We start from the raw sequence: 16,044 nt of genomic DNA, 5'->3' as shown, positions 1-16,044 counted from the left end.
ATTGTGCCACTGCACTCAAGCCTGGCAACAGAGCGAGACTCCATCTCAAAAAAAAAAAAAAAAAGAAAAAAAATACAAAACACAATTTTATTCCCCAGGAAAATATGCTGTTACATGTGCAAGGAATTAACTGTTTAGAACACGATGATTTGGAGGATGAAAGGAGGGTTTGCCTGGAGCCCTGAAAATACTGGAGAACGGTGGAACATTTAAAGGGCTAATTGAGAGTGGAATGAATGCCTGAATGCCCAGTAGCCACAAGACAGAATGGTACTCTAAGAGGAGTGGCCAAGCTGTAGGTATCACAGAAGGACCTATTCTCTAACCATCTGCTCTTCTTAGGTAAGTATCAATGGGCTCACTTGAGAGGAAACCAACATGTATATCAAAAACTAGACATTTGTCTTTCATTGCATCCTTTAATACAACAACCTGTGAGTTAAATATCTTATACACAAAGGCGAATGAGACTCAAAGAGATTATCAACATGGTTAACCAGCTGGTTCAACTTACAGAGTGTATTAGTCCATTCTCATGCTGCTAATAAAAACATACCTGAGACTGGGTAATTTATAGAGGAAAGAGCTTTAATTGACTCACAGCTTGGCATGGCTGGGGAGGCTTCAGGAAGCTTATAATCATCGTGAAAGGGGAAATCAACATGTCCTTCACAAGGCAGCAGCAAGGAGAAGTGCCAAGCAAATGGGGAAAAAGCTCCTCATAAAACCATCAGATCTCATGGGAACTCTCATTATCATGAGAAGAGCATGAGGGTAAACACCCCCATGATTCAATTATCTCCCACTGGGTCCCTCTCAGGACATGTGGGGATTATGGGAACTAAAACTTAAGATAAGATTTGGGTGGGGACACAGCCAAACCATATCACAGAGCTAGTAATGTGTTCAGCCAGAACTTGAAATCAGATCTATATGACTCCAAATGCCTTGCTCTTCCTTGCAGGTTTTACTCTCCCACCAACAAATAAAGGAGTTAACCATTTTCAAAGTCTTGAGAAAAATAAAGTAGTTTGGCTGGTGCATACATGACAAATAGGTTGTATTATAAAGTGATATGGGAGAGATAAGCAGAAGTCTAATTGGGATTTAGAGAAGCAAAATACATTTCCCTTCACAGTTTCTTCATCTGACAAATCAGGGAGTTATTAGAGACAATGAATGGGACAACATATGTAAATCAGTCTCTATAGTGCCTGGCAAGATATTAAGCCCTCGATGTTAAGAATACCAATTACAACTGCTAGTGCCATTTATTATCATTTTCTATTCCAGAAAAGTGATTATGTGCCTTATGTAATTTGGGGGCAGAAAACAATCCAGTGAAAAATAAGGTGTTCCCTGCTTGGACACAATGAGATTGTTTTGGGGAAGAAAGCCAGAATACTATTATGCAAAATGGAGAAATGAGAAAAAATTCATTAGGTTTCCTAATTTGGACAAGTCATGTACTTCGGCTTTTCTCTGCTTTGGGATAATGTAGGAGTCAGTCTTACATACCTCCATTTTAAATGAGTTATGGTTTCTGTTTGGGTTTCTTATCAGAAAAGACCAGTGAAAGTTTCAGTACATTAGAGCATATGAGAGCACTTTTTGTTTTTCTTATGTTGTGGTCTTCCTCTGATTTCCTAATAATCTTCGCTTCAAAAATCTACAGCACATGTGATCTGCTTGGAAAAAAGCTTTGGGGCTACCTTAGTGAGCTAGACTCTAGGGTACTAAAATAATTCAACCAAGACAAGACATATTATTAGACTGAACAGAGACTAGGTGATGAGAGCCAAGGTAATCTCACCAGAAACTAGATCAGAAAGTAGATCTTCTCTAGACAACATTAATTTGGATCAGAGTACCTGAACTACATTTTGTTTTGTTTTCTCTAGTCTTTTAACTTTACATGTTGAAGACTACTCAGGTTATTAGCTTAATAATTTTTCCCATGTGCAGGGACATGTGCCATGCCTACATCCTTTAAAGACCAATGACCTGTGCTCTGGTTTTCTTTTGTTCAAGAGCTCGCTCTGTAACCTTAGGCTCAGAAGTCAAAAGCCTTACCCAGCTTTTTTTCTGTAAAATGAAGAGATTGAACTAGACGATTTCTAAGGGCCCTTTGGGCTCTAAAAGCATGTAACTGTATAAAATTGAAGTAATAATATATCGTCTTCTCACCTCACAAGATTATGGCAAGGATCACATAGGAGAGCTGATGTGCTTGAACATACATAAAGGGATATACAAACCTAAATAGCAATAGCAGAACTGTGACTTAACCTTGGACTCTAGCAGTAAGGAGGTTAACAAGACTTTAGATGTCATTTGGTTTCATTATTTCCAAATGGTCTCCAGAATGATGCTTGTAATGTTGAATCAAATTACCTTTTTTGCTTTCTAAAAAAAATACACATTATTTTGGAGAGTTTAATTTAATTGGTTAGCCATGGAATCTGGGATCTATATTTACAAAATCACTTGCAATTAAAGATTCAGATTCTCTTTGTAAACACAGAATGTTTAGCTTCTTTTTCATTGCAACTTATGAATCCATTCTATAGTGAGGTATTGCATTATTTAAAAGTAGGTTATAATAGTCACTTATTAGTAGTTTAATATTGAGAGGCAGTGCTGGACAACAATTGAAGTTGGAAAACATGGGTTTAAATTATACTCTTTGACTTATTAACTGTGTAACCTTGAACAAATCACTTAACTTCTCTGAGCCTCAGTTTTCTCCTATTTTAAAGGATACAAACGATAGCCACCATCTATAGTGCTTTAATAATTAAAGAGATACTGCATGAGAAGAAAGTAATGAAATATGTCATGTTAGCTTGCCTTTCTCCTTTCTTGCCCTTCAAAGTATTGTAGCTATGAGGATATTAATAAAACACAATGCTGCATAATAATCACATCACTATAATAGTAATCTCCAAGTTATATAACAGGTGTCTAGATATCTTACCATCTGAACAGATGCCAATACATAAATTTGTTTACAGGTATCTCCTTTCTCAGAGACTAAGAGTTTAGCGGGTGGCATCTGGGTGAGTAAAAATACCTTCTGTTATTGTTAGTTTGTTTTAAAATTTAGGAAGATATGCCCAAATGTATGTCTTGCAGAAATTTTGCCTTACTATTTAACTATATTTATCCATACACAGACATGTTTGCAAAAACAAGTGTATTTTTCTTCTGCAAATATCCTTTTCCATTTTCTACCATTCCAAATCTCTTAAGTAAATCCACTATTTACAATACAGCTGTTTTAACGACATGTTTATGAAAATACAGATCCTGATCACAGTTTCCCTATGGACTACCAAAGAGAATTTGAAACCCCGTTAGTAGTTGCAAGATGAAAGTCAAGTTCAAATGTGTATCGAATTGTATCTAAGGAACTGAAATTGTTTTATAAACCTCAGTTAGACCTCACACCACCCCCCTGAGGATGGAAAGAAGTATTATGCACTCTTATGGAGACACAAACTTAAAATCCATTGAAAGTTTAATCACTTTGCATCAAAAGCCTTATAGCTGGTCCGTGGTGGAGTGAGGAACAAAACAGAATTTCTTCCTAGGGAGCAACTTACCTTCTTTTATTTGCCTGATTACTAGAGTGTATGAAACTTCTGGAAAATTATGATGAATGTTCAAAAGAAACCCCTGAGAAAGGATTAGCATTTGTTTCTCAGTTTAGAGAATGAGTGATTAGTTTTTCATGCAAAAGCAACAGCACCTTTTTTGTTTTGCTAAACACTTAGGTGGAAATGACCCCTTTGAGGAAGGAGAAAAGAAGAGCAGAGCAATTCAGGAATTAGGATAGCAATTGGTAGAATATTTCTCTTTCTTTCTTCTTTCCTCCTCCTTGTACATAGCAACATGCACAGATATTGCACGCTAGAGGGCACTTGAGGTAGAAGAAAAAAAGCTTCGGCATCCATTCTAACAGGACTAGTTGCCTATGCAGGCGGGAGACGGCAACCTAAAAGCAGTGCCCTGATTTCCACATGGCAGCATCTTTAGCAAAAGAACAAACAAAAATCCTTAGTATTATCCAGCTTTGACTAATAAAAGAAGCCTGTTCACATTCTCAATAATTAATTTCCCTTCAATATCTTGTAACATTTGTCCGCTGCATATACATGTGGTCTTCTCTCTAATAAGCATCTTGATAACTAATCACAACTATAAATTCCATTTTGCACATATTAAGATAATTGTTTTCCCTTCACCTCCCCTCCTCCATACATCTGTATTCCCCTATATATCTGCAATGGCACATTAGTATAAGTGTGCAAATATCAAATAATGGTAATCTTCTAAGCCAAACTTAAAATTAATTAAATGTAATTATTATATTTTAGTATGAAATACACTCTGTTATACCAAAGTAGTAGTATTTTAGGGAGTGGGGTACCTTTTTTACTCCTCTTTCTTCTTTTTTTATTCTTACTCTTTTTTCTTCTTTCTTCTTTTTACTTGGAACACATTGGGAACTATTTTTAATTTTTTCCTCCTTTTTTCTCCTAAGTTAAACAAGAGTGGTCTAGAATCTTAATCTAGTTGCTATTCTCCTACAGAAGAAAAAAAAAGATAGAGAAAAACCCAAACACTAATATGCTAAGTGTGTAGTCCACAAAACCTGGACTGGCTTATTTGATAGCTTTGTATCAGTCCTCTTAAATCTATTTACTACCCCACCCGCCGCCCGTCCGACCAAGTTTCTGTTCAGAAGCTGAATTGAAGCTTATCTCTTTTCTAGTACCTGGGAAGATGGAAGATAATGCCATTTTGAAAACCTTCTCCAAAATGCTCTCAGCACAGATGTGGTTTTCAGAAAGTGTTTACACCTCCATTTACTGAAAGTATAATGACAAACTCAAGATTAGTAATTATAGTCAATATTCAGAGATGCAGGCCTAATTTCAGGGACAGCTAAAACCAGCAAGCCAAGAAATGTAGAGCATCACAACTCTGAATAGCAAGCTCAATGATGATTTTATGTCAAGAATTCATAACTACTTCTAAAGAAATCAATTTAGTTTTTCAAATCCCATACTAAACATTAGTGAGGTACTCAGACGATAAATTTAGTGTGCTTACATTTTTATTCTTCTTTTCAAATCTTGTTTTTTAAGATAGTATTTTGTCTTAAAACAGAATATTCTGGGACAAAAACAGTAAATATTAACACAATACACTATTTTATTTTTTTCCTTCTCATCTTTATACATGTCACAAGAGAAAGAAATTGCCTAAAGCAGTGTTCTCAGATGTTAGCAGGTAACAGAATCTCCTAGCACATTTGTTAAAACCCAGATTTCTGAGCCCCACTCAGATTCAGGGTCAAAGAATTTGCATTTCTAACAAATTTCCAGAAAATATTGAGGCAGGAGCTCGTCCACGGATTGCAGGTTGAAAACCACTCGTCTAAAGGAATCTCCAGAATTGCTCACATTGGTTTAATGAGAGCACCATAATAACTTCTCATAATCTTAGTAAGAGAATGGTTTAAAGCAAATTCATAAACAAAAAAGCTGTCCTAAATTTACTTAAACATTTACAAACTTCTCAAAACTTCTTCTTTTTTATTTTATTTTTTTTTTTTTTGAGACGGAGTCTCACTTTGTTGCCCAGGCTGGAGTGGCTCACTGCAAGTTCCGCCTTCCAGGTTCACGCCATTCTCCTGCCTCATCCTCCCGAGTAGCTGGGACTACAGGCGCCCGCCACTACGCCCGGCTAATTTTTGTATTTTTAGTAGAGACGGGGTTTCACCTTGTTAGCCAGGATGGTCTCGGTCTCCTGACCTGTGATCCGCCCACCTCTGCCTCCCAAAGTGCTAGGATTACAGGTGTGAGCCACCATGCCCAGCCCCAAAACTTCTCTCTTAATGTTTTAATTCTTATGACTTACGCTTCAATATTGGAATCCAAAATAAAATTTAAGTTTCTTAAGCTTAATGCCAGAGTTGTTACATATTACTTACCCTTGCCCCATACCCCAAATAAAGGGCATGGTTTCAGATATCTTCATCCTAATGAAACACAGGAAAGGGACCCTTCATTTCTGGAAAAATATTACATGGTAATTTGAGTTGTCATTTTTCATATGTCATATTCTTGAGATTTTATTTTAAATGATAATACCTGGCACCATAGATATCACATTACAAGCAATCCAATAAATCTAAAGGTTACCAGTAATCATAATATGGTAAATACATTTTGTTTTTAGTTTGTTTTAATTTTTAATTCTATCTTGATGAATGAAAACGACGAAAGATTGCATTTTAACGCAGCAAATAATAGTTATGTTCCATTCTGTCATCTCCTGCTCCAACCAGAGAAGCTGGAGACTTCCTAACACTGTCTCCCTCTTCTTGAGCTCTGTTTCCTATGAACCATCTGATTCCCCACTCTGCAACTAGCTGGGCACTTGGTTTACTGTGTCCCTTGGTCAAAATTACGACAAACATTCCAGCCATAGTGAAAAAATAAAAGTGTATTTTACTACATGGAGTCCCTCTCCATCTCATTCACTCTCTACAGTAGACTCCCCTGCAAAACTGCCTGCCTGTCACCGAGACCCAGGCTAGAGACATCCTGCCTCATTCTACTTTTTGCATTAGTCAGCCAAGGTTATTCTGAATGCAATCTTCTCTCCCTCCCCCCAACTCCTTCTCCAATTATACTCCTGCCCTATCAGATAATTCCTCACCCTTCCTCCCCCGCAATGCTCCACAACACATGCAATTTCACTTGCCATTCTAAAAAGCCTATGTACCACAGTCCTCTTCCCGCTGGAAGGCTGTAACCCTGGAGAGGATGTTGAAAAGAAAACACTTTCTTAAGGGGGTAGGCTTTCACCATTGTGACATTACACTGCATCTTATTAAGAGTGGGTGGAATTGTTAAAGAGATAAATGCCTTGTCTTTCAGCATCCCTGATTATTTTAGAAATATCCTTATAGGGCTTTCTAACATTATCCTAATCCTCTATCACACTGCTTAATCATCCAAACCTCTCTTAAGAATTAGTCAGGAAATTCCTATTGTAACGCTTTGAGCAGATATTAGCAGGTATAGACAGGTTACCCTGAATTCCAGAGGACCAAAATTCAGGGAAGACAATGTATATAACTGCTGTAAGAGTAAATATGGACAAGATGAGTCAAAGCAAACTCTTCTTAACCCTAGATACCCAAAGCCATTGGATTCTGGCTCTCTTTAAAAGCCATTGGATTCTGACTATCTTTACTATGTCAGCATAGTTTGTTAAGAAAATGAGATTTGAGGATATTGTCTAACAATCTGGCTTTTTTTTTTTTTTTTGAGACAAGTTTGTTACTTGTGACAATCCCCAGCTTTCAGTAGCACATGAGTTTTTTTGAGTTTTCATAGATGTAAGAAGTTACCCCAAGGAACGGTTCAAATTATTTGTTCAAGTGAAAATGAATATCTGAAATTAAGCACAACCCAAAATGTGATCTATTTCTTTGTCCACTTGGGACTGTCTGGTCTAGCAGCAGTTATAATTTGATTGAGCCTTGACTGCTGCTCCTTTTTCCAAGACAGAATTAGCCAATTCCAATACCCTGTAAGCAGACACAGTCTGAGAAGAGAACAAACAGTTACTTAGTGACTGCCTGGGGGAAAAAAAATACCACTTGGTTCTCTTCACCTCTCCCTCTCTGAAATAATCCACTAAGTTTCTTGCCTATGACAGCTAGAACATGAAACAATCAGATATTAGAGCTACAGCCAATACTCTTTTTCACATTTCACAATGGGTTGTCAGATGCAGCACACAAAAAAATGTCAAATTTGCATAAATATCATAAGCATGTTGTGCCTATTTTCTCATTCTGTTCACTCTTTCTCATTAATTTGAGTGAGACAGTACAAGCTCTACAGACTGTGCGTCTTGTCCCCTGCACCTTTTTCCCCCTTCTGTTCTTGCTCTGTCCCCAGATGGTAAAATCCACCCTCAGGCTCACGTCTAGTGCACACAGGGAAGGGACTAAATCGGGATCTCCTGTGGAGGGGAGGGTTTTTTTTTTTAAGGTAAGAATTTATTTGTCTTATATTTATCTAATTTTATTAGAAGATGATGACTGTGGCATCGTCTACATGTTAGCCCCAGTGTTGAAAAAGAAAAGAAATCTGGACCTCCTGATTCATGGTCCCTTTTACCCCAGGGTGGCCATTTCTCAAGATCTGAGCGCAGCCCATCAGAAGACTTGAAGTGACCACAGACAGGGCAGGTCTTGGTGGAGGCAGGAGAACCGCAAGGATGGTATCTGAGAGGATATGACAAGATCAGGGCACATTGAGAAGACCTAGAAATTCCTCCCCTATTTCCCAAGCAAGTTCTGCTTTGCCTGCCCTCCTCCCCACAACCAACTACTGCGCGCCCCTCCTGGCTGCCACTCTGCTGTCCCTCATCCCATTTTCCCAAAGGAGCACGGGGACATCAGGAATGCGCTCCATCACAGAACCGCGACACACAGCCTCTACATAGCGTCTGAGTTGCAGGCAGGGGTCTCACAATCACCCTATTCTGTACGCAAGAGGCCCTTGGAATAAAGAGGAGGTAAGCTGCCCACGCTCAACCCTTTGCCCTGTCGCGTCCTCTTCCTCCTACGGAAAATAGCTGCGGGTCACTGAGACGCTTTTCAACATAACGCCAGCCCCAGAGCTCAGGTGAGACCTCTAGAGAGAAAGCTCGCAGGTACCTCATCCGCATGCTGTTATTATCTGCCAGCCCACTTATCCAGGAGCTCGGTCCTCAGCGGGCTGCGCGCACCGCGCGGAAGGGCGCATCTTCACCTCGTGGCTCTGGCGGCAGAGACGCGCGGGGCTTGCTCGGGAGCGAGGAGCGAAAAGTTGTGCGCCCACTTGGGTAGGGGGAAAGAGAGCGATCGAGCCAGCGCGGGAGAGCGAAGGGGGAAGGCGGGGAGGGGGCGGGGAGGGGGGACTGCTTACATGAATTTCCAAGTGGTAGACCTGCCTCTGCGCTCTGCCCAATGAGATCCGTCAGGGGAGGCACCCGGCTCACTTTTCCACATCACTTCACAGTTACATTTGGCAGGCAGGCGGGCTCGCACGCCGGAGCGCTCAGCCCAGAATTAGTGGATTTATTTGGAATCTCCCTGCCTCCTCCAAGCTCCGCCGCCGCCGCCGGCTTGTGCATAGACGGTAGCGTCAAGACACCAGCTGCACTTTGGGTTGCGGACACCCAGAGCCCAGCGCGCCCGCCCTGCGTCTCCGCACCAAGCCCTGTAGCTCCGAGAGGCATGAACGGAATCCGGAGGCGCCTGCCTAGCGAGCGAGGACCGGTCGGCGCTTGCCGCCCTCGGGAGCTAACCCCGAGCACCTCCAGCCATTTGTGAACCTGGAGGCTTGACATTCGCCAGCGCAGGGCCCCACAAGAGTAAGTGTTCCCCTAACCCACCCCCGTTTTCCTCTATGTTCCGACTATCCAGAAGGGACCGTTTCTTATAGGAATTCCCATGCCCCTTCGGACACCTTGCGCGCCTCCTGCCCCTCAGATGGTGGATGAGGGTTCTTAGCATAGGCTCTGGGCTAAGCTGTGTCTTTCGCGATATCCGTGGGTGATAACGTACGTACGCCTCAAGGTTTTGCCTGACTGTTTTTGCAAACTGCTTTGACAACAGATCCTAGAGAGTAGCAAGCTCCAGGCTGTGCCCCTCCAGTTTTCCTGCCGGTTTCCTTCCCTGCGGCGACTTGGCTATTTCGCCGCTTCCCAACGCAGGCAGGCGCGGCTGCAGCCGCGCGCCTTCACTGCGGGGTCCGTGCGGTGAATGGGAAGCACCTGCAGCCCGCTGTGCGGAGGGTGCAAGCCAGGGAAAAAAGGAGGCGAGGGGGCCCGAGTGGTCTATGGCTGGTTTTCTGCACCGCCTCATCTCCGAGGCGAGGGAGGGCGACCCCCGCGGCAGGGCTGCGGGCCAAGGCTCAGCTGCGAAAGCCCCAGCGCGAGGCTTTCCCACAAGTGGCAGCTCCAGCTCTGGGAGGTGCGGTGCCCGCTACAAACTTGCCGGGCTCCGGAGTCGCCCTGCGGCTCTGCCCTCGCCAAGACGCTGCCCAGCACCCCTGCAGGACCCCCAGGCAGTGTCTCCCCGCAACTCGAGATTGCGTGCACGGAGGCCCCCTTAAGCCGGGGACTCCGTAGCCGCTCTCCTAGGGACAGCTGAGCCCAGACCTGCGCTTTCTGTGGTCTGGCCGCTTCTCATCCGGGAACCTTTGAGGGGCTGGTCGCGCCCCTCGCAGGATCGGAGGGAAAAAGGCTCTTGCCTAGGTTCTGCCAGTACGTAAGAGGTTCATAAGGGACCTACTCCGGTTCTCCCAGGATCCAGCCAAGGCTGGGAAACGGTAAAAAAACGTGCTGCCGCCAACGCTGATGCCAACAGGTATCCACAATTTCCTCCGCTTATTCCTCCCAAACACCAGAGCCTTCCCCCACCCAGTCTGGCAGAATCCTCAAAGTTTCCTTGCGGTTGACCCTTCCCCCGCAGGCACGGAGCCGGCGGCATGTCAAGGACTAGCCGTTTGCCTCCACCAGCGGAGATGGCAGCTGTTTGCTTGGGTTGCTAAATGTAAGAAATCAAACCACATTAATTGTTTATTGTTGCAAACGCACAATATTAGTCCGTAATGGAAAATCGGGCTGGCAGCTGCTCACTTCAGCACCAATTAAACGATAGAGCTTATCACCAAGACAGCGGGAGGGAGGAAAGGTCCTTTCAACTTTACCACCCTTTCCTGAAGATTCCACAAGAGTTTCCTCCTTAGGAGGCATGATTCGACAATCCCTTAGCGCGCCCGAGCTGCTAATCAGATCAGCTGCTTTCTTTCACCTGGCGTCATGATATCTGGGGGCTGACAATGGGAACGAGGGGACGCTAGGGAAGGTAAGCGAGAGTACTGTCCTCTCGCATCCGGTACCATCGCAAAGCAGATCCGAGGGATGGGGGCTGGCTTTTGAAGCGCCTGTTCTCTTTACAACACTCCTGACAGCCATCTCAATGGTTAAAAACCCTCCTTGGGCTGTCACCTCAGGCTTTATTATAGGAGCTTTTCAACTGGAAAACTATATGTGGGAAAGATGTTTATGTAAGATTCGAAAGTGGGATTTTCCATCCATTCAGCCTCGCTGCTGCACCTCACTGCATGCAAAGTGAGCCCTGTCGTTCATGCTAAATACCAGTAAAATCCCTGCCTAGATATTGCTTTGCATCAGCTGTGTCCAGTGTTGCAGGGATTTCTTCGTGTGCGTGTGTGTGTGTGTGTGTGTGTGTGTTTGAGAGAGAGATATATATATGAGGTGGGGGCTGGGAGTGGGATTCTTCTACAGAGAGAAGTGGTACCTTTGAAGGATGTTCTCTTAGGGTTACATTCTTTTTCCCTTAAAGGGAGTTCTCCATAATCATCATGTCCAGACATGTTTTTCCACTTCCCCGAGCTCTGTGGCTGGAATAAATTCTAGAGCTATCCCCCTTATTAAATAATAATTCTGATAATAATATTCTGTAATTCTGCTTTAGCAGATTTGAAGCTCGCTGTCACATAGTCATTTCATGCTGGAGCAGTCACAGTATTTTAAATCGCCTTTGATTTTTTTTTTTCTGGACTCTGAAGAAGGCGAGGAGTTGAGGAAAATCCCTCTGAAAACAGAGAGGGGAGTCTTTCCAGCAACTCCGGGGACTGCTTCATTCAGAGCCCTTCCGTGGCAGTTCACCTTCCTCATTCTGATCCCCACACTCCCCAAGTGAATGTCAAGTTATCCCCTGACCATCGCAAATAGGCCAAATGTTTTAGAGACACTGGCTAATGTGCTCTGAAACTTGTGCTGTAATGCTGTCATTCAAACTTTTTAATCTATTCTCCCTGCAAATTGGTTCTTACATTACTAATTATTATTACTGTTAGAAATCAGTGCTTCTGCTTTATCATTTACAGTCTCTTAAAGCCTTCAAGATGGGTAAATCTCTACATTCAAGACTCTGTAACATTTCTTGGCTGCATTTCTGGTGTGTAGGATGCATTTCTTGAGTTCTTGAAGCTGCATGAATTTAGCTAAAAGAACAGAAAATTTGATAGCAGTCTTCACTAGAATAGCAGTTCCATTTGCCTGCTGTAGACATGTCAACTCTGAAGGGAAGGAATTCCTTACACTGGAAAACAACTTTATTTGGGTATTATGTAGAACTGTGGTCAACACAGTATTCATTTATAGCAATCCCTCAATTAGCACTGAACACAATTTAAGTAGCCAATGGCAGCATGATCGATGTAAAACAAAACAAACAAACAGCCCAGGAATGCTCAGCTGGATGGAGAAGACCACTTGAGAAGGCATTTGTAAAGACTGATGTGAATGTACTCAAAGGTCTGATACTGCTTGTTAGTCAGGAGGAACAGATTGTTGGAACAAAGCACAGAAACTCCAAAGAATGAGAATATAATGATTCTATTCAAGAAATTGTACCTCTGGGCTTTGCTTTCCAGGTTCCTTTCATTGTTTATTGGTGGGGAAAAAGAACATGCACATATTAAAAAGTTCAAACCCACACTTCAACAGCTGTTCAGAAAACGTCATCAATGTAGGTAAATTAATGCTTTAAAGAAAAAAATGACAATCTTTGTTATTTTTCTACTCAAGGTGGCACACCTCACGGCTTTATCAACATTCCAATTTGAGCAGATTTTCCATGCAAAACCAAAGGCTTTCAAGGGGTAAAGTGACATTCAATTCGTATTTCCAACCACACTTTTCTGGTCCATCCGCAAACTTTTGTGTCTGGCAAATCAAGGGACAAGCATAATCGGAGAAGCCTTTCTATTAGAGGTGCAATTTAAGGTCCGAAGACTTCTTTTTGAAAATATTCTGCTCAGTGGTGCTGCTGAAACTGGTTTCAGTCATTTTATATTTGTTACAAAGTTATTCAGTGTAGCTGGTGGAGAAAAACAATTTTCTTTTTGTTTTCAGCGCTATTGGCATTCACAGAGGAAATGGTCTAACTTTGCTTTTTAATTAAGAAAAACGTCCTAACTTTGGTGTGTTATACACTTCTCAGGGTGGGAGGGTGTAGATAAACCAATGATAATTCTTGTTGCTCTGTATTATGTACACACACACACGCACGCAAATAACACACACACATATACACAGCATGCTTCTTGAAAATGTGCCCAGATAACGAACTCATTTATTGGCTCAAGTCTGAGATTTTTATCATGTTCCCTTTGCCATTTCATCTGCCTTAGATTATTTGATTTGCCTTTCTGGCTACTCTGATTTGTATATTGATCAGTCTTTCAAAAAATGTTATCTGTGGCGCTGGGAATTCCCCTCCAGTATCTAATACACGTATGTTTATGAAATAGAACAATTTTTTGATGGACAAAGGCCATCATCCGATTTAGCAGGGCTTAATTAACCAAAGGGCTATTAGTGCTTTCTCAATTCATTCTTACAGAAAATTGTGATGCGAATCTATTTCTGCTGAACTGTTTGTTCCTGTCTCTGGAAGCTGCTTTAGATGTAACCATGAAGAGAAAATTAGTTGAACCTGGCAACTTCAAAAGGTCAGAAAAGAAATAAGTTCAAGGGATGCCATTTAGCTGCTTCTACCATATGTTGCCGCTAACTAAATCTCTGTTGCTTCATGGCAAAGCACCGGGGCCAATACTGTTTCTTTTTCTTATCAAGTTTTAAGCTTTATTTCCTGGGTTTTAAATGTCATGTGCTATTTCCTATCATAAACAATATCCATCCTCTTGCTTGGATGTCTTGTGTGTGTGTGTGTGTGTGTTTGTGGGTGTGTGTGTTTAAGTTCTCTTAGTAGGTAGAAGTATATAGATGTGATTTTCTGTATCTCTTTGGAAAGTATCATAAATGAATACCATTTATATTTGGAACCTTCAAACAGTTTTCTTTCTCTGCCTCCACTGCCAAAGACAATTGCAAATGCTAGAACGATGGATGGTTCAGGGCTAAGCACAGAGTTAGTGCTCAGTAAATATTTATTTTATGCGATAAGAAATTAGCAAAGACCCTGCACCCTACACTAGCATATTTTCATTAAAAGAAAGAGATACAATCATATCCAAAGTTCAATATTTTGACTTATCTACCACAATTTTCTCTGCAGAAATTTCATAAGTCCTCCTAAGTCTATTTTTAGTCACAGCTTTTCTCATTTTTTCAAATCAATCTTACTCATGTTCCACAAAGCATATTTTTGTTCTCTCACAATCATCTTTTAAATGATATGGGAATATAAAAAATGACATAATTCAGCTTTGTAAAAATGAGAATGCCTCCAAGACTAGACTTGCATCAAAGAATGCTATTAAACTATATTTGATGCAAAGTTATATTTTATTGGCAAAAAAATGCACTAATTGTGGAGTTGCTGCATGGGTGACTCAATGTCTGTACATTGTTGAGAATGTATAAAAAATAATTAAGGATTAATTTACTTCCTCTCTCCTTCCTGCCCTCCTTCTTTTTCTTTCATATATTTTTGTATTTGAATTGAACAGTTCACCTTACCCTCATGTGAATTGCAACTATGGGTGTTTTCAAAGACAATTCCATACTCTTCTGTATTAATCAGCAGGATACCTGGCCCTCACATATAGACACAGGGAAAAATAGTGTGCCATGATAAGGTACTTTTGTGGATGTGTTTATTGATATTTTAGGCATGTTGAAGATATTACAAAGGAATATTAAATGGAATCCCCTTACTCTTTTTTATGTACATCAAGTGAAAATATTACAGTATATTTATAGTTCATTTGCAGTCAGAACAATATTTTCCATGTCTTTTTCTCTCTAGATAGATTAATGAATAAAATATGATTATTTGATTCTAGATGTGACATAAATGATACAAAATAAGTAGATGGAGGAATGGTATAAATATCACAAGGAAATTATTTCCTTTTTATGTAAGAAGATTCATCTCCAAAATTTGATTTATAAAGTACGAAGGCACATTTTCTTCTTTATTAGTCTGTTGCTGGTTGAGCTTTATAAACAGAATTCACATTTGTGTCTAACTATTCCCATCTTCAACATGGGGATGCTCAGAAAAATGAAAAAAAAACAAAAAACAATTCATACTTATTTTTATCAGAGGGTTAAAACACATATCTTCTCTTGCCTTTGAGTGTCACTAAACTATAGTAGCTGAAGATTGTATACGTATTTTGGAATCTGCATAAGCAACTCCCTTAATTTTCATAAATTATACATTCTGGGTCATAACTCAATAGTATTTTTGTCAAATAATTGCTTGCTGTCTATCTGACTGTCTACTCATCCATCACCTGTGTCTGTAGTTCACGTTAAGTGTCAGTGAGTGGTTATTAAGCTATAAAGTTTTAGAAGCATGAAAGAGTGACAGTAAGGTGCACTTGTAAGCATGGTTACTACACAGTGTAATCTAATTGGCAGAATCTGGATGACTTATACTAGGATCGTTGGCTGCATTTCAATTTCAGTATAAGAGACTCTGAAGCCCCCATTATGGGATGTAAGTGATTTTAACCATTTCCACATTTCTTAAGTGAGAAGAGAAATCTAATTTCTGTCATCAATGCTAAAGTTTCTTGAAATAAATAGAAAAAGTTAGTTGCAATCTCTGACGAGCATTATCTTCTCTGAGCTCCCTTCTAAGTAGTATATAGCTATCACCTTGGATTCATCTTGGAATTAGTAGAGACTTTCCACTTGTGCTGTCCTCACAGGAATGTAGATGATTATGAAGTGCAATGGAATTTATCTTGTAAAAGATATGTACCAGGCAATGTTTTTTAATGAGCGGCTACAGTTTGATTGAAAGAGAATAGCTCACTCATGAACAGGTAGTGCTTGTACTCTGTCCTCTCGGCAGAAAATAGTCATGGACAATGTCATGTCTTCTATGGGAAGGAAAGATGTGGTTCGTTCTGGACAGTAAAAATGCAGCCCTTCTGAGGCTTAATAAAACTACTCGAA

The 16,044-nt window shown here is 40.9% G+C and overlaps 1 protein-coding gene and 1 long non-coding RNA gene across 6 annotated transcripts in view, besides 2 other annotated features; one reads left to right on the top strand and one right to left on the bottom strand.

Annotated features, from left to right (window-relative positions):
* Positions 457-958: an enhancer, noted in NCBI's record as "NANOG hESC enhancer chr16:62078473-62078974 (GRCh37/hg19 assembly coordinates)". NCBI's record gives its function as "activates a minimal SCP1, AML or CMV promoter by ChIP-STARR-seq in primed H9 embryonic stem cells {active_cell/tissue: H9 hESC(primed)}" and the evidence as "EXISTENCE:reporter gene assay evidence [ECO:0000049][PMID:30033119]".
* LOC124903777 (uncharacterized) lies at positions 8,094-8,937 on the bottom strand. Its single transcript, XR_007065217.1, has 2 exons — positions 8,750-8,937; positions 8,094-8,314 (listed from the first exon to the last, which is right to left on the bottom strand). It is a non-coding gene; the product is annotated as an uncharacterized LOC124903777 (long non-coding RNA).
* Positions 8,938-9,088: 151 nt separating this feature from the next.
* Positions 9,089-16,044, top strand: part of CDH8 (cadherin 8) — a 389,189-nt gene continuing 382,233 nt past the window's right edge. For 4 of the 5 annotated variants that reach the window (NM_001796.5, XM_005255760.5, XM_047433482.1 and 1 more), the window contains exon 1: positions 9,089-9,447. The gene's annotated coding sequence lies outside the window, so the exon portion shown is untranslated. Of the gene's footprint in view, positions 9,448-10,340; positions 10,445-16,044 lie in introns of those variants that run through there. The other variant, NM_001410893.1, reaches the window with a different exon arrangement.
* Positions 10,787-11,288: an enhancer, noted in NCBI's record as "NANOG hESC enhancer chr16:62068143-62068644 (GRCh37/hg19 assembly coordinates)". NCBI's record gives its function as "activates a minimal SCP1, AML or CMV promoter by ChIP-STARR-seq in naive H9 embryonic stem cells {active_cell/tissue: H9 hESC(naive)}" and the evidence as "EXISTENCE:reporter gene assay evidence [ECO:0000049][PMID:30033119]".

Source organism: Homo sapiens, chromosome 16, assembly GCF_000001405.40.
Source record: "Homo sapiens chromosome 16, GRCh38.p14 Primary Assembly".
Lineage (NCBI taxonomy): Eukaryota > Metazoa > Chordata > Mammalia > Primates > Hominidae > Homo > Homo sapiens.
Note: the sequence above shows the minus strand (reverse complement) of the source record. Positions and strands in the feature narration are given on the sequence as shown.